The sequence below is a fragment of the Homo sapiens genome, chromosome 1 (assembly GCF_000001405.40).
Source record: "Homo sapiens chromosome 1, GRCh38.p14 Primary Assembly".
NCBI classification, from domain to species: domain Eukaryota; kingdom Metazoa; phylum Chordata; class Mammalia; order Primates; family Hominidae; genus Homo; species Homo sapiens.
The window spans coordinates 146,094,726-146,118,657 of NC_000001.11; the positions used below are offsets into that span (position 1 = coordinate 146,094,726).

Genomic DNA, 23,932 nt, shown 5'->3' on the forward strand with positions numbered 1-23,932 from the left:
TCTTTATATGGAAGACTCAGTGGATCCTTATCACCTTCATAGAAAGGTACTCACCTCCCACGTCAAGAGAAAAGCCAACATGTTTTTCCTCCAATGCATAAAAGGAACTTCCATAGGGCTGGCAGGAGTCAGGCTGTTCAAGACAACTGGAAGGAGTTGAATAACATCTATCCAGTGAGTCCTGCAAGACTTCAGGCTCTACTACCTCCAGCAGCTCCCTGCTGAGCCTGGAAAAGGAGGAAAAAGTAAAGAATAAGCCAGGGGAAATCAGACACAACAGAGCCCCAACTAGGTTTCATGGGTAGCATAGGGAAGTGGTTAAAAAACTAAAAGGATAGATCCATTAATGAGGTAACAAATTATTGCCTTCATGTTGGGACAGAACAGGGCCAAATGGAAAAGAATGAAAGAGAAAGACAGATAGACACACACACACACACACACACACACACACACACACACACACACAGAGAGAGAGAGAGAGAGAGAACGAGCTCAGTGAATTGTCCAGGTGACACACTGATGAGGGAGTAACAGGACACTCTGAGTTAGTGCCCTCAGGACACACAGCATACAGGGATCATGAAAAGACTGTGCTCAATAATTTTCCATAAAATGTGCTCAAGTTTCCATGCAGTCGCCATGAGAATACAGTTTTTGAAGTCTGGTCCACCTACAGTAGGTTAGTAAATGATAAGGGGAGGAAGAAATGGAAACCTAAATATCTACTGCAATGAAAACCAACAGCAATGTTAGTAGGAATAATTCAGGCTTGGTTGAAAAGATGTAATCGATAATGTCAGCCCGCACTGTTTTCCCTGAACCAGGAGTCTCCAGATGTCAACACAGAAGTAGCTGTTCACAATTGCTCAGTTACCTGGGGCATGGTGGGCCTTGGTCTTCTTCCTCTTCTTGGTCCTTTTTAATTCCTGCAATACATTCAGACAGGGACAGACAAAATAAGCCAATTCACCTACACCCATAACAGTCCACTGTCTAATCCCCACACAGGGATCTCAGGCTCCTCAGCATGAGAACAGGACAATGTGAGAGATATACTTCAGGAGGCCTGAAAGCTGGTCATGATATTCTTTGGTTTACATCTCAGAACCAAGGGTGAAATATCCCCATTCTGGTACATCGTTATCCCAAAATCATTTATCCCAAGTTTGTGCAAACAGTTATGCTTTATTGTTCCCATCAGTTCAAAGAAAATGCCCCAGATGATTTCCAGGAGGAAAACTAAAGTATTCAGCCCTGTCTCATCAAATGCCCAGCTCGTTCATGGATGCAAGAATTTTAGACACTGAAATTAGAATGAAGGAGGAAATCTACAAACCCTTCAGTCCAAATCATACTTCTGTGAATTTTTTACATCTGCCTGGGTCCAATGTGCTGAGAGCGGGCTCAGGTTGCCACAGGCATGGCTGGAGACTAGGAATAGAGCCTTGCTCACTGACCCATTTCATGTCTAGGCTTCCAACTGAGACTACAGTTTCATTACAACCTATATGCGCCCATAGGTCCTGCCTGCGGCAATGACGTCTCTCGGGTCAGTAAGGGGCACTTGGAACAGGAATATCACCCCTATCTGGAAGACCAGGTGGAGGCTTATCACCTTCACAGTAAGGTACTCACTGTCCACGTCAAGAGCCAAGCCAAGGTACTGTTCCTCCAATGAGTAAACAGCACTGCTGTAGGGCTGGCCTAAGTCAGGCAGTTCAAGATAACCTGAAGGAGTCGAATAACATCTATCCAGTGAGTCCTGCAAGACTTCAGGCTCTTTCTCATCCAGCAGCTCCCTGCTGAGCCTGGAAAAGTAGGAAAAAGTAAAGAATAAGTCAGGGGGAATCAGAAACCACACAGCCCCAGCTAGATTTCATGGCTAACATAAGGAACTGTTTAAAAAGAAAAAGGACAGATCCATTAATGAGGTAATGAATTATTGCCTTTATGTTGGGATAGACCAGGGCCAGGTAGAAAAGAATGAAAGAGAAAGACAGGGAGAGGGAGAGAGAGAGAGAGGAGAAAGTGAGCTCAGCGAATTGGCCGGGTGACACACTGATGAAGGGGTCAAAGGACACTCTGAGTTAGTGCCCTCGGGACACACAGCGAACAGTGATCATGAAAAGAGTGGGCTCAATAATTTTCCATAACCTTGCTCAAGATTCCATGCAGTTGCCATACAGCCTTTGAGGTATGGTCAACCTATAGTAAGTGAGTAAATGATAAGGGGAGGAAGAAATGGAAACCTAAACATCTACTGCAATGAAAACCAACAGCAATGTCAGTAGGAGTAATTCAACCTTCGTTGAAAACATGAAATTGAACACACTCTTGTTTTCCCTGGACCTGGCATCTCCAGGTGTCAACACAGAATTAAGCATCCATAATTGCTCAAAGTTACCTGGGGCATGATGGGTCTTGGTCTTCTTCCACTTCTTGGTACTTTTCAATTTCTGCAATAAGTTCAGACATGGACAGACATATTAAGCTGGTTCTCCTACACACATAACAATCCACTGTCTAATCCTCACACAGGGACTTCAGGCTCCTCAGCATGAGAATAGGACACTGTGAGAGATAGTCTTCAGGAGGCCTGAAGGCTGATCACCATAGAGATTCCTTGGTTTTTGTCCCAGAAACTGTGGGTAAAATTCCCTATTCTGGTAGATCGTTATCCCAATATCATTTGTCCCAAGTTTGTGCAAATGGTTATGCCATATTTTTCCAATCGATTTAAAGCAAATGCCCCCAAATGGCTGCTAGGAGAAAAACTGCACTATTCAGCCCTGTCTCATCAAATACTCAGATTGTTCATGGTAGTGAGGATTTGAGACGCTGAAATTAGAGTGAAGGATGAAATCGACAAGATCTACAAAATTGAGACAAAATCAGAGTTGTGTGAATTTGTCACATCTGCCCAGATCCAACATCTTGAGAGTAGGATTAGGGCGCCACGGGCATGGCCTGAGACTAGGAAGAGAGCCTTGCTCACTGACCCATCCCTTGTCTGGGCTTCCAAGTGGAACTAGAGTTTCACTCAACCTACATGTGCCTATAGTTCCTCCCTGTGGCAATGACATCTCTCAGCTCAGTAAGGGCCACTTGCAGTAGGAATATGACCCTAACCAGAAGACTCAGTGGATCCTTATCACCTTCATAGAAAGGTACTCACCATCCATGTCAACAGCCAAGCCAACATGCTGTTGCTCCAATACATAAAAGGCACTTCTGTAGGGCTGGCATGAGTCAGTCAGTTCAAGACAACCTGAAGGAGTTGAATAACATCTATCCAGTGAGTCCTGCAAGACTTCAGGCCCTTTCTCATCCAGCAGCTCCCTGCTGAGCCTGGAAAAGTGGGAAAAAGTAAAGAATAAGCCAGGGGGAATCAGAAACCACACAGCCCCAGCTAGATTTCATGGCTAACGTAAGGAAGAGTTTGAAAAGAAAAAGGACAGATCCATTAATGAGGTAACAAATTATTGCCTTTATGTTGGGACAGAACAGGGCCAGGTAGAAAACAATGAAAGAGAAAGACAGACAGAGACAGAGACAGAGACAGAGAGAAAGTGACCTAGTGAATTGGCCAGGTGACATACTGGTAAGGGAGTCAAAGGACACTCTGAGTTAGTGCCCTCATGACACACAGCAAACTGTGATCATGAAAAGAGTGAGCTCAATAGTTTTACATAAAATATGCTCAAAATTCGATGCAGTGGCCATGAGAGTACAGCTTTTGAAGTATGGTCAACCTATGGTACGTTAGGAAATGATAAGGGGAGGAAGAAATGGAAACCTAAACATCTACTGCAATGAAAACCAACAGCAATGACAGTAGGAGTAATTCAGCCTTCGCTGAAAACATGTCATCAAACACACTCTGGTTTCCCTGAATCTGTTGCCTCCAGGTGTTAACACAGAATTAAGCATCCACAATTGCTGAAAGTCACCTGGGGCATGGTGGGTTTTGATCTTCTTCCCCTTCTTTTCTTCCCCTTCTTCTTTCCTTCTTTGATCTTCTTCCCCTTCTTTTCTTCCCCTTCCCCTTCTTTTCAATTTCTGCAATAAATTCAGACATGGACAGACACATTAAGCTGATTCCCCTACACACATAACAATCCACTGTCTAATCCTCACACAGGGACCTCAGGCTCCTCAGCATAAGAATAGGACACTGTGAGAGATATATTTCAGGAGGCCTGAAGGCTGGTCATGATAGAAATTCCTCGGTTTTTCTCCCAGAAACTGTGGGTAAAATGTCCCTATTCTAGTAGATCGTTATCCCAATATCATTTGTCCCAAGTTTGTGCAAACAGTTACGCCATATTTTTCCAATCAACTTAAAGCAAATACCCTCAAATGATTTCTAGGAGAAAAACTGCAATATTTAGCCCTGTCTCATCAAATACTCAGATTGTTCATGGTTGTGAGGACTTTAGACACTGAAATTAGAGTGAAAAAGGAAATCTACAAACCCTTGAGTCAAAATCATAGTTCTCTGAATTTGTCACATCTGCCCAGGTCCAATGTCATGAGAATAGGATCAGGGCGCCACAGGTATGGCCTGAGACTAGGAAGAGAGTCTTGCTCACTGACCCATCCCTTGTCTGGGCTTCCAGGTAGAACTAGAGTTTCATTCAACCTACATGTGCCTATAGGTCCTCCCTGTGGCAATGACATCTCTCAGCTCAGTAATGGCCACTTGGAGCAGGAATATGATCTTTATATGGAAGACTCAGTGGATCCTTATCACCTTCATAGAAAGGTACTCACCTCCCACGTCAAGAGAAAAGCCAACATGTTTTTCCTCCAATGCATAAAAGGAACTTCCATAGGGCTGGCAGGAGTCAGGCTGTTCAAGACAACTGGAAGGAGTTGAATAACATCTATCCAGTGAGTCCTGCAAGACTTCAGGCTCTACTACCTCCAGCAGCTCCCTGCTGAGCCTGGAAAAGGAGGAAAAAGTAAAGAATAAGCCAGGGGAAATCAGACACAACAGAGCCCCAACTAGGTTTCATGGGTAGCATAGGGAAGTGGTTAAAAAACTAAAAGGATAGATCCATTAATGAGGTAACAAATTATTGCCTTCATGTTGGGACAGAACAGGGCCAAATGGAAAAGAATGAAAGAGAAAGACAGATAGACACACACACACACACACACACACACACACACACACACACACACAGAGAGAGAGAGAGAGAGAGAACGAGCTCAGTGAATTGTCCAGGTGACACACTGATGAGGGAGTAACAGGACACTCTGAGTTAGTGCCCTCAGGACACACAGCATACAGGGATCATGAAAAGACTGTGCTCAATAATTTTCCATAAAATGTGCTCAAGTTTCCATGCAGTCGCCATGAGAATACAGTTTTTGAAGTCTGGTCCACCTACAGTAGGTTAGTAAATGATAAGGGGAGGAAGAAATGGAAACCTAAATATCTACTGCAATGAAAACCAACAGCAATGTTAGTAGGAATAATTCAGGCTTGGTTGAAAAGATGTAATCGATAATGTCAGCCCGCACTGTTTTCCCTGAACCAGGAGTCTCCAGATGTCAACACAGAAGTAGCTGTTCACAATTGCTCAGTTACCTGGGGCATGGTGGGCCTTGGTCTTCTTCCTCTTCTTGGTCCTTTTTAATTCCTGCAATACATTCAGACAGGGACAGACAAAATAAGCCAATTCACCTACACCCATAACAGTCCACTGTCTAATCCCCACACAGGGATCTCAGGCTCCTCAGCATGAGAACAGGACAATGTGAGAGATATACTTCAGGAGGCCTGAAAGCTGGTCATGATATTCTTTGGTTTACATCTCAGAACCAAGGGTGAAATATCCCCATTCTGGTACATCGTTATCCCAAAATCATTTATCCCAAGTTTGTGCAAACAGTTATGCTTTATTGTTCCCATCAGTTCAAAGAAAATGCCCCAGATGATTTCCAGGAGGAAAACTAAAGTATTCAGCCCTGTCTCATCAAATGCCCAGCTCGTTCATGGATGCAAGAATTTTAGACACTGAAATTAGAATGAAGGAGGAAATCTACAAACCCTTCAGTCCAAATCATACTTCTGTGAATTTTTTACATCTGCCTGGGTCCAATGTGCTGAGAGCGGGCTCAGGTTGCCACAGGCATGGCTGGAGACTAGGAATAGAGCCTTGCTCACTGACCCATTTCATGTCTAGGCTTCCAACTGAGACTACAGTTTCATTACAACCTATATGCGCCCATAGGTCCTGCCTGCGGCAATGACGTCTCTCGGGTCAGTAAGGGGCACTTGGAACAGGAATATCACCCCTATCTGGAAGACCAGGTGGAGGCTTATCACCTTCACAGTAAGGTACTCACTGTCCACGTCAAGAGCCAAGCCAAGGTACTGTTCCTCCAATGAGTAAACAGCACTGCTGTAGGGCTGGCCTAAGTCAGGCAGTTCAAGATAACCTGAAGGAGTCGAATAACATCTATCCAGTGAGTCCTGCAAGACTTCAGGCTCTTTCTCATCCAGCAGCTCCCTGCTGAGCCTGGAAAAGTAGGAAAAAGTAAAGAATAAGTCAGGGGGAATCAGAAACCACACAGCCCCAGCTAGATTTCATGGCTAACATAAGGAACTGTTTAAAAAGAAAAAGGACAGATCCATTAATGAGGTAATGAATTATTGCCTTTATGTTGGGATAGACCAGGGCCAGGTAGAAAAGAATGAAAGAGAAAGACAGGGAGAGGGAGAGAGAGAGAGAGGAGAAAGTGAGCTCAGCGAATTGGCCGGGTGACACACTGATGAAGGGGTCAAAGGACACTCTGAGTTAGTGCCCTCGGGACACACAGCGAACAGTGATCATGAAAAGAGTGGGCTCAATAATTTTCCATAACCTTGCTCAAGATTCCATGCAGTTGCCATACAGCCTTTGAGGTATGGTCAACCTATAGTAAGTGAGTAAATGATAAGGGGAGGAAGAAATGGAAACCTAAACATCTACTGCAATGAAAACCAACAGCAATGTCAGTAGGAGTAATTCAACCTTCGTTGAAAACATGAAATTGAACACACTCTTGTTTTCCCTGGACCTGGCATCTCCAGGTGTCAACACAGAATTAAGCATCCATAATTGCTCAAAGTTACCTGGGGCATGATGGGTCTTGGTCTTCTTCCACTTCTTGGTACTTTTCAATTTCTGCAATAAGTTCAGACATGGACAGACATATTAAGCTGGTTCTCCTACACACATAACAATCCACTGTCTAATCCTCACACAGGGACTTCAGGCTCCTCAGCATGAGAATAGGACACTGTGAGAGATAGTCTTCAGGAGGCCTGAAGGCTGATCACCATAGAGATTCCTTGGTTTTTGTCCCAGAAACTGTGGGTAAAATTCCCTATTCTGGTAGATCGTTATCCCAATATCATTTGTCCCAAGTTTGTGCAAATGGTTATGCCATATTTTTCCAATCGATTTAAAGCAAATGCCCCCAAATGGCTGCTAGGAGAAAAACTGCACTATTCAGCCCTGTCTCATCAAATACTCAGATTGTTCATGGTAGTGAGGATTTTAGACGCTGAAATTAGAGTGAAGGATGAAATCGACAAGATCTACAAAATTGAGACAAAATCAGAGTTGTGTGAATTTGTCACATCTGCCCAGATCCAACATCTTGAGAGTAGGATTAGGGCGCCACGGGCATGGCCTGAGACTAGGAAGAGAGCCTTGCTCACTGACCCATCCCTTGTCTGGGCTTCCAAGTGGAACTAGAGTTTCACTCAACCTACATGTGCCTATAGTTCCTCCCTGTGGCAATGACATCTCTCAGCTCAGTAAGGGCCACTTGCAGTAGGAATATGACCCTAACCAGAAGACTCAGTGGATCCTTATCACCTTCATAGAAAGGTACTCACCATCCATGTCAACAGCCAAGCCAACATGCTGTTGCTCCAATACATAAAAGGCACTTCTGTAGGGCTGGCATGAGTCAGTCAGTTCAAGACAACCTGAAGGAGTTGAATAACATCTATCCAGTGAGTCCTGCAAGACTTCAGGCCCTTTCTCATCCAGCAGCTCCCTGCTGAGCCTGGAAAAGTGGGAAAAAGTAAAGAATAAGCCAGGGGGAATCAGAAACCACACAGCCCCAGCTAGATTTCATGGCTAACGTAAGGAAGAGTTTGAAAAGAAAAAGGACAGATCCATTAATGAGGTAACAAATTATTGCCTTTATGTTGGGACAGAACAGGGCCAGGTAGAAAACAATGAAAGAGAAAGACAGACAGAGACAGAGACAGAGACAGAGAGAAAGTGACCTAGTGAATTGGCCAGGTGACATACTGGTAAGGGAGTCAAAGGACACTCTGAGTTAGTGCCCTCATGACACACAGCAAACTGTGATCATGAAAAGAGTGAGCTCAATAGTTTTCCATAAAATATGCTCAAAATTCGATGCAGTGGCCATGAGAGTACAGCTTTTGAAGTATGGTCAACCTATGGTACGTTAGGAAATGATAAGGGGAGGAAGAAATGGAAACCTAAACATCTACTGCAATGAAAACCAACAGCAATGACAGTAGGAGTAATTCAGCCTTCGCTGAAAACATGTCATCAAACACACTCTGGTTTCCCTGAATCTGTTGCCTCCAGGTGTTAACACAGAATTAAGCATCCACAATTGCTGAAAGTCACCTGGGGCATGGTGGGTTTTGATCTTCTTCCCCTTCTTTTCTTCCCCTTCTTCTTTCCTTCTTTGATCTTCTTCCCCTTCTTTTCTTCCCCTTCCCCTTCTTTTCAATTTCTGCAATAAATTCAGACATGGACAGACACATTAAGCTGATTCCCCTACACACATAACAATCCACTGTCTAATCCTCACACAGGGACCTCAGGCTCCTCAGCATAAGAATAGGACACTGTGAGAGATATATTTCAGGAGGCCTGAAGGCTGGTCATGATAGAAATTCCTCGGTTTTTCTCCCAGAAACTGTGGGTAAAATGTCCCTATTCTAGTAGATCGTTATCCCAATATCATTTGTCCCAAGTTTGTGCAAACAGTTACGCCATATTTTTCCAATCAACTTAAAGCAAATACCCTCAAATGATTTCTAGGAGAAAAACTGCAATATTTAGCCCTGTCTCATCAAATACTCAGATTGTTCATGGTTGTGAGGACTTTAGACACTGAAATTAGAGTGAAAAAGGAAATCTACAAACCCTTGAGTCAAAATCATAGTTCTCTGAATTTGTCACATCTGCCCAGGTCCAATGTCATGAGAATAGGATCAGGGCGCCACAGGTATGGCCTGAGACTAGGAAGAGAGTCTTGCTCACTGACCCATCCCTTGTCTGGGCTTCCAGGTAGAACTAGAGTTTCATTCAACCTACATGTGCCTATAGGTCCTCCCTGTGGCAATGACATCTCTCAGCTCAGTAATGGCCACTTGGAGCAGGAATATGATCTTTATATGGAAGACTCAGTGGATCCTTATCACCTTCATAGAAAGGTACTCACCTCCCACGTCAAGAGAAAAGCCAACATGTTTTTCCTCCAATGCATAAAAGGAACTTCCATAGGGCTGGCAGGAGTCAGGCTGTTCAAGACAACTGGAAGGAGTTGAATAACATCTATCCAGTGAGTCCTGCAAGACTTCAGGCTCTACTACCTCCAGCAGCTCCCTGCTGAGCCTGGAAAAGGAGGAAAAAGTAAAGAATAAGCCAGGGGAAATCAGACACAACAGAGCCCCAACTAGGTTTCATGGGTAGCATAGGGAAGTGGTTAAAAAACTAAAAGGATAGATCCATTAATGAGGTAACAAATTATTGCCTTCATGTTGGGACAGAACAGGGCCAAATGGAAAAGAATGAAAGAGAAAGACAGATAGACACACACACACACACACACACACACACACACACACACACACACAGAGAGAGAGAGAGAGAACGAGCTCAGTGAATTGTCCAGGTGACACACTGATGAGGGAGTAACAGGACACTCTGAGTTAGTGCCCTCAGGACACACAGCATACAGGGATCATGAAAAGACTGTGCTCAATAATTTTCCATAAAATGTGCTCAAGTTTCCATGCAGTCGCCATGAGAATACAGTTTTTGAAGTCTGGTCCACCTACAGTAGGTTAGTAAATGATAAGGGGAGGAAGAAATGGAAACCTAAATATCTACTGCAATGAAAACCAACAGCAATGTTAGTAGGAATAATTCAGGCTTGGTTGAAAAGATGTAATCGATAATGTCAGCCCGCACTGTTTTCCCTGAACCAGGAGTCTCCAGATGTCAACACAGAAGTAGCTGTTCACAATTGCTCAGTTACCTGGGGCATGGTGGGCCTTGGTCTTCTTCCTCTTCTTGGTCCTTTTTAATTCCTGCAATACATTCAGACAGGGACAGACAAAATAAGCCAATTCACCTACACCCATAACAGTCCACTGTCTAATCCCCACACAGGGATCTCAGGCTCCTCAGCATGAGAACAGGACAATGTGAGAGATATACTTCAGGAGGCCTGAAAGCTGGTCATGATATTCTTTGGTTTACATCTCAGAACCAAGGGTGAAATATCCCCATTCTGGTACATCGTTATCCCAAAATCATTTATCCCAAGTTTGTGCAAACAGTTATGCTTTATTGTTCCCATCAGTTCAAAGAAAATGCCCCAGATGATTTCCAGGAGGAAAACTAAAGTATTCAGCCCTGTCTCATCAAATGCCCAGCTCGTTCATGGATGCAAGAATTTTAGACACTGAAATTAGAATGAAGGAGGAAATCTACAAACCCTTCAGTCCAAATCATACTTCTGTGAATTTTTTACATCTGCCTGGGTCCAATGTGCTGAGAGCGGGCTCAGGTTGCCACAGGCATGGCTGGAGACTAGGAATAGAGCCTTGCTCACTGACCCATTTCATGTCTAGGCTTCCAACTGAGACTACAGTTTCATTACAACCTATATGCGCCCATAGGTCCTGCCTGCGGCAATGACGTCTCTCGGGTCAGTAAGGGGCACTTGGAACAGGAATATCACCCCTATCTGGAAGACCAGGTGGAGGCTTATCACCTTCACAGTAAGGTACTCACTGTCCACGTCAAGAGCCAAGCCAAGGTACTGTTCCTCCAATGAGTAAACAGCACTGCTGTAGGGCTGGCCTAAGTCAGGCAGTTCAAGATAACCTGAAGGAGTCGAATAACATCTATCCAGTGAGTCCTGCAAGACTTCAGGCTCTTTCTCATCCAGCAGCTCCCTGCTGAGCCTGGAAAAGTAGGAAAAAGTAAAGAATAAGTCAGGGGGAATCAGAAACCACACAGCCCCAGCTAGATTTCATGGCTAACATAAGGAACTGTTTAAAAAGAAAAAGGACAGATCCATTAATGAGGTAATGAATTATTGCCTTTATGTTGGGATAGACCAGGGCCAGGTAGAAAAGAATGAAAGAGAAAGACAGGGAGAGGGAGAGAGAGAGAGAGGAGAAAGTGAGCTCAGCGAATTGGCCGGGTGACACACTGATGAAGGGGTCAAAGGACACTCTGAGTTAGTGCCCTCGGGACACACAGCGAACAGTGATCATGAAAAGAGTGGGCTCAATAATTTTCCATAACCTTGCTCAAGATTCCATGCAGTTGCCATACAGCCTTTGAGGTATGGTCAACCTATAGTAAGTGAGTAAATGATAAGGGGAGGAACAAATGGAAACCTAAACATCTACTGCAATGAAAACCAACAGCAATGTCAGTAGGAGTAATTCAACCTTCGTTGAAAACATGAAATTGAACACACTCTTGTTTTCCCTGGACCTGGCATCTCCAGGTGTCAACACAGAATTAAGCATCCATAATTGCTCAAAGTTACCTGGGGCATGATGGGTCTTGGTCTTCTTCCACTTCTTGGTACTTTTCAATTTCTGCAATAAGTTCAGACATGGACAGACATATTAAGCTGGTTCTCCTACACACATAACAATCCACTGTCTAATCCTCACACAGGGACTTCAGGCTCCTCAGCATGAGAATAGGACACTGTGAGAGATAGTCTTCAGGAGGCCTGAAGGCTGATCACCATAGAGATTCCTTGGTTTTTGTCCCAGAAACTGTGGGTAAAATTCCCTATTCTGGTAGATCGTTATCCCAATATCATTTGTCCCAAGTTTGTGCAAATGGTTATGCCATATTTTTCCAATCGATTTAAAGCAAATGCCCCCAAATGGCTGCTAGGAGAAAAACTGCACTATTCAGCCCTGTCTCATCAAATACTCAGATTGTTCATGGTAGTGAGGATTTGAGACGCTGAAATTAGAGTGAAGGATGAAATCGACAAGATCTACAAAATTGAGACAAAATCAGAGTTGTGTGAATTTGTCACATCTGCCCAGATCCAACATCTTGAGAGTAGGATTAGGGCGCCACGGGCATGGCCTGAGACTAGGAAGAGAGCCTTGCTCACTGACCCATCCCTTGTCTGGGCTTCCAAGTGGAACTAGAGTTTCACTCAACCTACATGTGCCTATAGTTCCTCCCTGTGGCAATGACATCTCTCAGCTCAGTAAGGGCCACTTGCAGTAGGAATATGACCCTAACCAGAAGACTCAGTGGATCCTTATCACCTTCATAGAAAGGTACTCACCATCCATGTCAACAGCCAAGCCAACATGCTGTTGCTCCAATACATAAAAGGCACTTCTGTAGGGCTGGCATGAGTCAGTCAGTTCAAGACAACCTGAAGGAGTTGAATAACATCTATCCAGTGAGTCCTGCAAGACTTCAGGCCCTTTCTCATCCAGCAGCTCCCTGCTGAGCCTGGAAAAGTGGGAAAAAGTAAAGAATAAGCCAGGGGGAATCAGAAACCACACAGCCCCAGCTAGATTTCATGGCTAACGTAAGGAAGAGTTTGAAAAGAAAAAGGACAGATCCATTAATGAGGTAACAAATTATTGCCTTTATGTTGGGACAGAACAGGGCCAGGTAGAAAACAATGAAAGAGAAAGACAGACAGAGACAGAGACAGAGACAGAGAGAAAGTGACCTAGTGAATTGGCCAGGTGACATACTGGTAAGGGAGTCAAAGGACACTCTGAGTTAGTGCCCTCATGACACACAGCAAACTGTGATCATGAAAAGAGTGAGCTCAATAGTTTTACATAAAATATGCTCAAAATTCGATGCAGTGGCCATGAGAGTACAGCTTTTGAAGTATGGTCAACCTATGGTACGTTAGGAAATGATAAGGGGAGGAAGAAATGGAAACCTAAACATCTACTGCAATGAAAACCAACAGCAATGACAGTAGGAGTAATTCAGCCTTCGCTGAAAACATGTCATCAAACACACTCTGGTTTCCCTGAATCTGTTGCCTCCAGGTGTTAACACAGAATTAAGCATCCACAATTGCTGAAAGTCACCTGGGGCATGGTGGGTTTTGATCTTCTTCCCCTTCTTTTCTTCCCCTTCTTCTTTCCTTCTTTGATCTTCTTCCCCTTCTTTTCTTCCCCTTCCCCTTCTTTTCAATTTCTGCAATAAATTCAGACATGGACAGACACATTAAGCTGATTCCCCTACACACATAACAATCCACTGTCTAATCCTCACACAGGGACCTCAGGCTCCTCAGCATAAGAATAGGACACTGTGAGAGATATATTTCAGGAGGCCTGAAGGCTGGTCATGATAGAAATTCCTCGGTTTTTCTCCCAGAAACTGTGGGTAAAATGTCCCTATTCTAGTAGATCGTTATCCCAATATCATTTGTCCCAAGTTTGTGCAAACAGTTACGCCATATTTTTCCAATCAACTTAAAGCAAATACCCTCAAATGATTTCTAGGAGAAAAACTGCAATATTTAGCCCTGTCTCATCAAATACTCAGATTGTTCATGGTTGTGAGGACTTTAGACACTGAAATTAGAGTGAAAAAGGAAATCTACAAACCCTTGAGTCAAAATCATAGTTCTCTGAATTTGTCACATCTGCCCAGGTCCAATGTCATGAGAATAGGATCAGGGCGCCACAGGTATGGCCTGAGACTAGGAAGAGAGTCTTGCTCACTGACCCATCCCTTGTCTGGGCTTCCAGGTAGAACTAGAGTTTCATTCAACCTACATGTGCCTATAGGTCCTCCCTGTGGCAATGACATCTCTCAGCTCAGTAATGGCCACTTGGAGCAGGAATATGATCTTTATATGGAAGACTCAGTGGATCCTTATCACCTTCATAGAAAGGTACTCACCTCCCACGTCAAGAGAAAAGCCAACATGTTTTTCCTCCAATGCATAAAAGGAACTTCCATAGGGCTGGCAGGAGTCAGGCTGTTCAAGACAACTGGAAGGAGTTGAATAACATCTATCCAGTGAGTCCTGCAAGACTTCAGGCTCTACTACCTCCAGCAGCTCCCTGCTGAGCCTGGAAAAGGAGGAAAAAGTAAAGAATAAGCCAGGGGAAATCAGACACAACAGAGCCCCAACTAGGTTTCATGGGTAGCATAGGGAAGTGGTTAAAAAACTAAAAGGATAGATCCATTAATGAGGTAACAAATTATTGCCTTCATGTTGGGACAGAACAGGGCCAAATGGAAAAGAATGAAAGAGAAAGACAGATAGACACACACACACACACACACACACACACACACACAGAGAGAGAGAGAGAGAACGAGCTCAGTGAATTGTCCAGGTGACGCACTGATGAGGGAGTAACAGGACACTCTGAGTTAGTGCCCTCAGGACACACAGCATACAGGGATCATGAAAAGACTGTGCTCAATAATTTTCCATAAAATGTGCTCAAGTTTCCATGCAGTCGCCATGAGAATACAGTTTTTGAAGTCTGGTCCACCTACAGTAGGTTAGTAAATGATAAGGGGAGGAAGAAATGGAAACCTAAATATCTACTGCAATGAAAACCAACAGCAATGTTAGTAGGAATAATTCAGGCTTGGTTGAAAAGATGTAATCGATAATGTCAGCCCGCTCTGTTTTCCCTGAACCAGGAGTCTCCAGATGTCAACACAGAAGTAGCTGTTCACAATTGCTCAGTTACCTGGGGCATGGTGGGTCTTGGTCTTCTTCCTCTTCTTCGTCCTTTTTAATTCCTGCAATACATTCAGACAGGGACAGACAAAATAAGCCAATTCACCTACACCCATAACAGTCCACTGTCTAATCCCCACACAGGGATCTCAGGCTCCTCAGCATGAGAACAGGACAATGTGAGAGATATACTTCAGGAGGCCTGAAAGCTGGTCATGATATTCTTTGGTTTGCATCTCAGAACCAAGGGTGAAATATCCCCATTCTGGTACATCGTTATCCCAAAATCATTTATCCCAAGTTTGTGCAAACAGTTATGCTTTATTGTTCCCATCAGTTCAAAGAAAATGCCCCAGATGATTTCCAGGAGGAAAACTAAAGTATTCAGCCCTGTCTCATCAAATGCCCAGCTCGTTCATGGATGCAAGAATTTTAGACACTGAAATTAGAATGAAGGAGGAAATCTACAAACCCTTCAGTCCAAATCATACTTCTGTGAATTTTTTACATCTGCCTGGGTCCAATGTGCTGAGAGCGGGCTCAGGTTGCCACAGGCATGGCTGGAGACTAGGAATAGAGCCTTGCTCACTGACCCATTTCATGTCTAGGCTTCCAACTGAGACTACAGTTTCATTACAACCTATATGCGCCCATAGGTCCTGCCTGCGGCAATGACGTCTCTCGGGTCAGTAAGGGGCACTTGGAACAGGAATATCACCCCTATCTGGAAGACCAGGTGGAGGCTTATCACCTTCACAGTAAGGTACTCACTGTCCACGTCAAGAGCCAAGCCAAGGTACTGTTCCTCCAATGAGTAAACAGCACTGCTGTAGGGCTGGCCTAAGTCAGGCAGTTCAAGATAACCTGAAGGAGTCGAATAACATCTATCCAGTGAGTCCTGCAAGACTTCAGGCTCTTTCTCATCCAGCAGCTCCCTGCTGAGCCTGGAAAAGTAGGAAAAAGTAAAGAATAAGCCAGGGGGAATCAGAAACCACACAGCCCCAGCTAGATTTCATGGCTAACATAAGGAACTGTTTAAAAAGAAAAAGGACAGATCCGTTAATGAGGTAATGAATTATTGCCTTTATGTTGGGATAGACCAGGGCCAGGTAGAAAAGAATGAAAGAGAAAGACAGGGAGAGGGAGAGAGAGAGAGAGGAGAAAGTGAGCTCAGCGAATTGGCCGGGTGACACACTGATGAAGGGGTCAAAGGACACTCTGAGTTAGTGCCCTCGGGACACACAGCGAACAGTGATCATGAAAAGAGTGGGCTCAATAATTTTCCATAACCTTGCTCAAGATTCCATGCAGTTGCCATACAGCCTTTGAGGTATGGTCAACCTATAGTAAGTGAGTAAATGATAAGGGGAGGAAGAAATGGAAACCTAAACATCTACTGCAATGAAAACCAACAGCAATGTCAGTAGGAGTAATTCAACCTTCGTTGAAAACATGAAATTGAACACACTCTTGTTTTCCCTGGACCTGGCATCTCCAGGTGTCAACACAGAATTAAGCATCCATAATTGCTCATAGTTACCTGGGGCATGATGGGTCTTGGTCTTCTTCCACTTCTTGGTACTTTTCAATTTCTGCAATAAGTTCAGACATGGACAGACATATTAAGCTGGTTCTCCTAAACACACATAACAATCCACTGTCTAATCCTCACACAGGGACTTCAGGCTCCTCAGCATGAGAATAGGACACTGTGAGAGATATTCTTCAGGAGGCATGAAGGCTGATCACCATAGAGATTCCTTGGTTTTTGTCCCAGAAACTGTGGGTAAAATTCCCTATTCTGGTAGATCGTTATCCCAATATCATTTGTCCCAAGTTTGTGCAAATGGTTATGCCATATTTTTCCAATCGATTTAAAGGAATTGCCCCCAAATGGTTGCTAGGAGAAAAACTGCACTATTCAGCCCTGTCTCATCAAATACTCAGATTGTTCATGGTAGCGAGGATTTCAGACGCTGAAATTAGAGTGAAGGATGAAATCTACAAGATCTACAAAATTGAGACAAAATCAGAGTTGTGTGAATTTGTCACATCTGCCCAGGTCCAATGTCATGAGAGTAGGATTAGGGCGCCACAGGCATGGCCTGAGACTAGGAAGAGAGCCTTGCTCACTGACCCATCCCTTGTCTGGGCTTCCAAGTGGAACTAGAGTTTCATTCAACCTACATGTGCCTATAGGTCCTCCCTGTGGCAATGACATCTCTCAGCTCAGTAAGGGCCACTTGCAGTAGGAATATGACCCTAACCAGAAGACTCAGTGGATCCTTATCACCTTCATAGAAAGGTACTCACCATCCATGTCAACAGCGAAGCCAACACGCTGTTGCTCCAATACATAAAAGGCACTTCTGTAGGGCTGGCATGAGTCAGTCAGTTCAAGACAACCTGAAGGAGTTGAATAACATCTATCCAGTGAGTCCTGCAAGACTTCAGGCCCTTTCTCTTCCAGCAGCTCCCTGCTGAGCCTGGAAAAGTGGGAAAAAGTAAAGAATAAGCCAGGGGGAATCAGAAACCACACAGCCCCAGCTAGATTTCATGGCTAACGTAAGGAAGAGTTTGAAAAGAAAAAGGACAGATCCATTAATGAGGTAACAAATTATTGCCTTTATGTTGGGACAGAACAGGGCCAGGTAGAAAACAATGAAAGAGAAAGACAGACAGAGACAGAGACAGAGACAGAGAGAAAGTGACCTAGTGAATTGGCCAGGTGACATACTGGTAAGGGAGTCAAAGGACACTCTGAGTTAGTGCCCTCATGACACACAGCAAACTGTGATCATGAAAAGAGTGAGCTCAATAGTTTTCCATAAAATATGCTCAAAATTCGATGCAGTGGCCATGAGAGTACAGCTTTTGAAGTATGGTCAACCTATGGTACGTTAGGAAATGATAAGGGGAGGAAGAAATGGAAACCTAAACATCTACTGCAATGAAAACCAACAGCAATGACAGTAGGAGTAATTCAGCCTTCGCTGAAAACATGTCATCAAACACACTCTGGTTTCCCTGAATCTGTTGCCTCCAGGTGTTAACACAGAATTAAGCATCCACAATTGCTGAAAGTCACCTGGGGCATGGTGGGTTTTGATCTTCTTCCCCTTCTTTTCTTCCCCTTCTTCTTTCCTTCTTTGATCTTCTTCCCCTTCTTTTCTTCCCCTTCCCCTTCTTTTCAATTTCTGCAATAAATTCAGACATGGACAGACACATTAAGCTGATTCCCCTACACACATAACAATCCACTGTCTAATCCTCACACAGGGACCTCAGGCTCCTCAGCATAAGAATAGGACACTGTGAGAGATATATTTCAGGAGGCCTGAAGGCTGGTCATGACAGAAATTCCTCGGTTTTTCTCCCAGAAACTGTGGGTAAAATGTCCCTATTCTAGTAGATCGTTATCTCAATATCATTTGTCCCAAGTTTGTGCAAACAGTTACGCCATATTTTTCCAATCAACTTAAAGCAAATACCCTCAAATGATTTCTAGGAGAAAAACTGCAATATTTAGCCCTGTCTCATCAAATACTCAGATTGTTCATGGTTGTGAGGACTTTAGACACTGAAATTAGAGTGAAAAAGGAAATCTACAAACCCTTGAGTCAAAATCATAGTTCTCTGAATTTGTCACATCTGCCCAGGTCCAATGTCATGAGAATAGGATCAGGGCGCCACAGGTATGGCCTGAGACTAGGAAGAGAGTCTTGCTCACTGACCCATCCCTTGTCTGGGCTTCCAGGTAGAACTAGAGTTTCATTCAACCTACATGTGCCTATAGGTCCTCCCTGTGGCAATGACATCTCTCAGCTCAGTAATGGCCACTTGGAGCAGGAATATGATCTTTATATGGAAGACTCAGTGGATCCTTATCACCTTCATAGAAAGGTACTCACCTCCCACGTCAAGAGAAAAGCCAACATGTTTTTCCTCCAATGCATAAAAGGAACTTCCATAGGGCTGGCAGGAGTCAGGCTGTTCAAGACAACTGGAAGGAGTTGAATAACATCTATCCAGTGAGTCCTGCAAGACTTCAGGCTCTACTACCTCCAGCAGCTCCCTGCTGAGCCTGGAAAAGGAGGAAAAAGTAAAGAATAAGCCAGGGGAAATCAGACACAACAGAGCCCCAACTAGGTTTCATGGGTAGCATAGGGAAGTGGTTAAAAAACTAAAAGGATAGATCCATTAATGAGGTAACAAATTATTGCCTTCATGTTGGGACAGAACAGGGCCAAATGGAAAAGAATGAAAGAGAAAGACAGATAGACACACACACACACACACACACACACACACACACACACACACAGAGAGAGAGAGAGAGAACGAGCTCAGTGAATTGTCCAGGTGACGCACTGATGAGGGAGTAACAGGACACTCTGAGTTAGTGCCCTCAGGACACACAGCATACAGGGATCATGAAAAGACTGTGCTCAATAATTTTCCATAAAATGTGCTCAAGTTTCCATGCAGTCACCATGAGAATACAGTTTTTGAAGTCTGGTCCACCTACAGTAGGTTAGTAAATGATAAGGGGAGGAAGAAATGGAAACCTAAATATCTACTGCAATGAAAACCAACAGCAATGTTAGTAGGAATAATTCAGGCTTGGTTGAAAAGATGTAATCGATAATGTCAGCCCGCTCTGTTTTCCCTGAACCAGGAGTCTCCAGATGTCAACACAGAAGTAGCTGTTCACAATTGCTCAGTTACCTGGGGCATGGTGGGTCTTGGTCTTCTTCCTCTTCTTCGTCCTTTTTAATTCCTGCAATACATTCAGACAGGGACAGACAAAATAAGCCAATTCACCTACACCCATAACAGTCCACTGTCTAATCCCCACACAGGGATCTCAGGCTCCTCAGCATGAGAACAGGACAATGTGAGAGATATACTTCAGGAGGCCTGAAAGCTGGTCATGATATTCTTTGGTTTGCATCTCAGAACCAAGGGTGAAATATCCCCATTCTGGTAGATCGTTATCCCAAAATCATTTATCCCAAGTTTGTGCAAACAGTTATGCTTTATTGTTCCCATCAGTTCAAAGAAAATGCCCCAGATGATTTCCAGGAGGAAAACTGCAGTATTCAGCCCTGTCTCATCAAATGCCCAGCTCGTTCATGGATGCAAGAATTTTAGACACTGAAATTAGAATGAAGGAGGAAATCTACAAACCCTTCAGTCCAAATCATACTTCTGTGAATTTTTTACATCTGCCTGGGTCCAACGTGCTGAGAGCGGGCTCAGGTTGCCACAGGCATGGCTGGAGACTAGGAATAGAGCCTTGCTCACTGACCCATTTCATGTCTAGGCTTCCAACTGAGACTACAGTTTCATTACAACCTATATGCGCCCATAGGTCCTGCCTGCGGCAATGACGTCTCTCGGGTCAGTAAGGGGCACTTGGAACAGGAATATCACCCCTATCTGGAAGAACAGGTGGAGGCTTATCACCTTCACAGTAAGGTACTCACTGTCCACGTCAAGAGCCAAGCCAAGGTACTGTTCCTCCAATGAGTAAACAGCACTGCTGTAGGGCTGGCCTAAGTCAGGCAGTTCAAGATAACCTGAAGGAGTCGAATAACATCTATCCAGTGAGTCCTGCAAGACTTCAGGCTCTTTCTCATCCAGCAGCTCCCTGCTGAGCCTGGAAAAGTAGGAAAAAGTAAAGAATAAGTCAGGGGGAATCAGAAACCACACAGCCCCAGCTAGATTTCATGGCTAACATAAGGAACTGTTTAAAAAGAAAAAGGACAGATCCGTTAATGAGGTAATGAATTATTGCCTTTATGTTGGGATAGACCAGGGCCAGGTAGAAAAGAATGAAAGAGAAAGACAGGGAGAGGGAGAGAGAGAGAGAGGAGAAAGTGAGCTCAGCGAATTGGCCGGGTGACACACTGATGAAGGGGTCAAAGGACACTCTGAGTTAGTGCCCTCGGGACACACAGCGAACAGTGATCATGAAAAGAGTGGGCTCAATAATTTTCCATAAACTTGCTCAAGATTCCATGCAGTTGCCATACAGCCTTTGAGGTATGGTCAACCTATAGTAAGTGAGTAAATGATAAGGGGAGGAAGAAATGGAAACCTAAACATCTACTGCAATGAAAACCAACAGCAATGTCAGTAGGAGTAATTCAACCTTCGTTGAAAACATGAAATTGAACACACTCTTGTTTTCCCTGGACCTGGCATCTCCAGGTGTCAACACAGAATTAAGCATCCATAATTGCTCATAGTTACCTGGGGCATGATGGGTCTTGGTCTTCTTCCACTTCTTGGTACTTTTCAATTTCTGCAATAAGTTCAGACATGGACAGACATATTAAGCTGGTTCTCCTAAACACACATAACAATCCACTGTCTAATCCTCACACAGGGACTTCAGGCTCCTCAGCATGAGAATAGGACACTGTGAGAGATATTCTTCAGGAGGCATGAAGGCTGATCACCATAGAGATTCCTTGGTTTTTGTCCCAGAAACTGTGGGTAAAATTCCCTATTCTGGTAGATCGTTATCCCAATATCATTTGTCCCAAGTTTGTGCAAATGGTTATGCCATATTTTTCCAATCGATTTAAAGGAATTGCCCCCAAATGGTTGCTAGGAGAAAAACTGCACTATTCAGCCCTGTCTCATCAAATACTCAGATTGTTCATGGTAGCGAGGATTTCAGACGCTGAAATTAGAGTGAAGGATGAAATCTACAAGATCTACAAAATTGAGACAAAATCAGAGTTGTGTGAATTTGTCACATCTGCCCAGGTCCAATGTCATGAGAGTAGGATTAGGGCGCCACAGGCATGGCCTGAGACTAGGAAGAGAGCCTTGCTCACTGACCCATCCCTTGTCTGGGCTTCCAAGTGGAACTAGAGTTTCATTCAACCTACATGTGCCTATAGGTCCTCCCTGTGGCAATGACATCTCTCAGCTCAGTAAGGGCCACTTGCAGTAGGAATATGACCCTAACCAGAAGACTCAGTGGATCCTTATCACCTTCATAGAAAGGTACTCACCATCCATGTCAACAGCGAAGCCAACACGCTGTTGCTCCAATACATAAAAGGCACTTCTGTAGGGCTGGCATGAGTCAGTCAGTTCAAGACAACCTGAAGGAGTTGAATAACATCTATCCAGTGAGTCCTGCAAGACTTCAGGCCCTTTCTCTTCCAGCAGCTCCCTGCTGAGCCTGGAAAAGTGGGAAAAAGTAAAGAATAAGCCAGGGGGAATCAGAAACCACACAGCCCCAGCTAGATTTCATGGCTAACGTAAGGAAGAGTTTGAAAAGAAAAAGGACAGATCCATTAATGAGGTAACAAATTATTGCCTTTATGTTGGGACAGAACAGGGCCAGGTAGAAAACAATGAAAGAGAAAGACAGACAGAGACAGAGACAGAGACAGAGAGAAAGTGACCTAGTGAATTGGCCAGGTGACATACTGGTAAGGGAGTCAAAGGACACTCTGAGTTAGTGCCCTCATGACACACAGCAAACTGTGATCATGAAAAGAGTGAGCTCAATAGTTTTCCATAAAATATGCTCAAAATTCGATGCAGTGGCCATGAGAGTACAGCTTTTGAAGTATGGTCAACCTATGGTACGTTAGGAAATGATAAGGGGAGGAAGAAATGGAAACCTAAACATCTACTGCAATGAAAACCAACAGCAATGACAGTAGGAGTAATTCAGCCTTCGCTGAAAACATGTCATCAAACACACTCTGGTTTCCCTGAATCTGTTGCCTCCAGGTGTTAACACAGAATTAAGCATCCACAATTGCTGAAAGTCACCTGGGGCATGGTGGGTTTTGATCTTCTTCCCCTTCTTTTCTTCCCCTTCTTCTTTCCTTCTTTGATCTTCTTCCCCTTCTTTTCTTCCCCTTCCCCTTCTTTTCAATTTCTGCAATAAATTCAGACATGGACAGACACATTAAGCTGATTCCCCTACACACATAACAATCCACTGTCTAATCCTCACACAGGGACCTCAGGCTCCTCAGCATAAGAATAGGACACTGTGAGAGATATATTTCAGGAGGCCTGAAGGCTGGTCATGACAGAAATTCCTCGGTTTTTCTCCCAGAAACTGTGGGTAAAATGTCCCTATTCTAGTAGATCGTTATCTCAATATCATTTGTCCCAAGTTTGTGCAAACAGTTACGCCATATTTTTCCAATCAACTTAAAGCAAATACCCTCAAATGATTTCTAGGAGAAAAACTGCAATATTTAGCCCTGTCTCATCAAATACTCAGATTGTTCATGGTTGTGAGGACTTTAGACACTGAAATTAGAGTGAAAAAGGAAATCTACAAACCCTTGAGTCAAAATCATAGTTCTCTGAATTTGTCACATCTGCCCAGGTCCAATGTCATGAGAATAGGATCAGGGCGCCACAGGTATGGCCTGAGACTAGGAAGAGAGTCTTGCTCACTGACCCATCCCTTGTCTGGGCTTCCAGGTAGAACTAGAGTTTCATTCAACCTACATGTGCCTATAGGTCCTCCCTGTGGCAATGACATCTCTCAGCTCAGTAATGGCCACTTGGAGCAGGAATATGATCTTTATATGGAAGACTCAGTGGATCCTTATCACCTTCATAGAAAGGTACTCACCTCCCACGTCAAGAGAAAAGCCAACATGGTTTTCCTCCAATGCATAAAAGGAACTTCCATAGGGCTGGCAGGAGTCAGGCTGTTCAAGACAACTGGAAGGAGTTGAATAACATCTATCCAGTGAGTCCTGCAAGACTTCAGGCTCTACTACCTCCAGCAGCTCCCTGCTGAGCCTGGAAAAGGAGGAAAAAGTAAAGAATAAGCCAGGGGAAATCAGACACAACAGAGCCCCAACTAGGTTTCATGGGTAGCATAGGGAAGTGGTTAAAAAACTAAAAGGATAGATCC

The 23,932-nt window shown here is 44.0% G+C and overlaps 1 protein-coding gene across 2 annotated transcripts in view; it reads right to left on the bottom strand.

Annotated features, from left to right (window-relative positions):
- The window catches only part of NBPF10 (NBPF member 10), an 80,106-nt gene that overhangs the window by 30,027 nt on the left and 26,147 nt on the right, over positions 1–23,932 (bottom strand). For both annotated transcript variants that reach the window (NM_001039703.6, NM_001302371.3), the window contains exons 24-54: positions 23,645–23,817; positions 22,822–22,930; positions 22,047–22,219; positions 21,274–21,325; positions 20,505–20,677; positions 19,744–19,795; positions 18,927–19,099; positions 18,104–18,212; positions 17,329–17,501; positions 16,556–16,607; positions 15,787–15,959; positions 15,026–15,077; positions 14,217–14,389; positions 13,394–13,502; positions 12,619–12,791; positions 11,848–11,899; positions 11,079–11,251; positions 10,318–10,369; positions 9,499–9,671; positions 8,676–8,784; positions 7,901–8,073; positions 7,130–7,181; positions 6,361–6,533; positions 5,600–5,651; positions 4,777–4,949; positions 3,954–4,062; positions 3,179–3,351; positions 2,408–2,459; positions 1,639–1,811; positions 878–929; positions 55–227 (exon numbers count right to left, since the gene is read on the bottom strand). In NM_001039703.6, the coding sequence (NP_001034792.4) occupies positions 55–227; positions 878–929; positions 1,639–1,811; positions 2,408–2,459; positions 3,179–3,351; positions 3,954–4,062; positions 4,777–4,949; positions 5,600–5,651; positions 6,361–6,533; positions 7,130–7,181; positions 7,901–8,073; positions 8,676–8,784; positions 9,499–9,671; positions 10,318–10,369; positions 11,079–11,251; positions 11,848–11,899; positions 12,619–12,791; positions 13,394–13,502; positions 14,217–14,389; positions 15,026–15,077; positions 15,787–15,959; positions 16,556–16,607; positions 17,329–17,501; positions 18,104–18,212; positions 18,927–19,099; positions 19,744–19,795; positions 20,505–20,677; positions 21,274–21,325; positions 22,047–22,219; positions 22,822–22,930; positions 23,645–23,817 (3,833 nt within the window). The remainder of the gene's footprint in view (positions 1–54; positions 228–877; positions 930–1,638; positions 1,812–2,407; positions 2,460–3,178; positions 3,352–3,953; positions 4,063–4,776; positions 4,950–5,599; positions 5,652–6,360; positions 6,534–7,129; positions 7,182–7,900; positions 8,074–8,675; positions 8,785–9,498; positions 9,672–10,317; positions 10,370–11,078; positions 11,252–11,847; positions 11,900–12,618; positions 12,792–13,393; positions 13,503–14,216; positions 14,390–15,025; positions 15,078–15,786; positions 15,960–16,555; positions 16,608–17,328; positions 17,502–18,103; positions 18,213–18,926; positions 19,100–19,743; positions 19,796–20,504; positions 20,678–21,273; positions 21,326–22,046; positions 22,220–22,821; positions 22,931–23,644; positions 23,818–23,932) is intronic.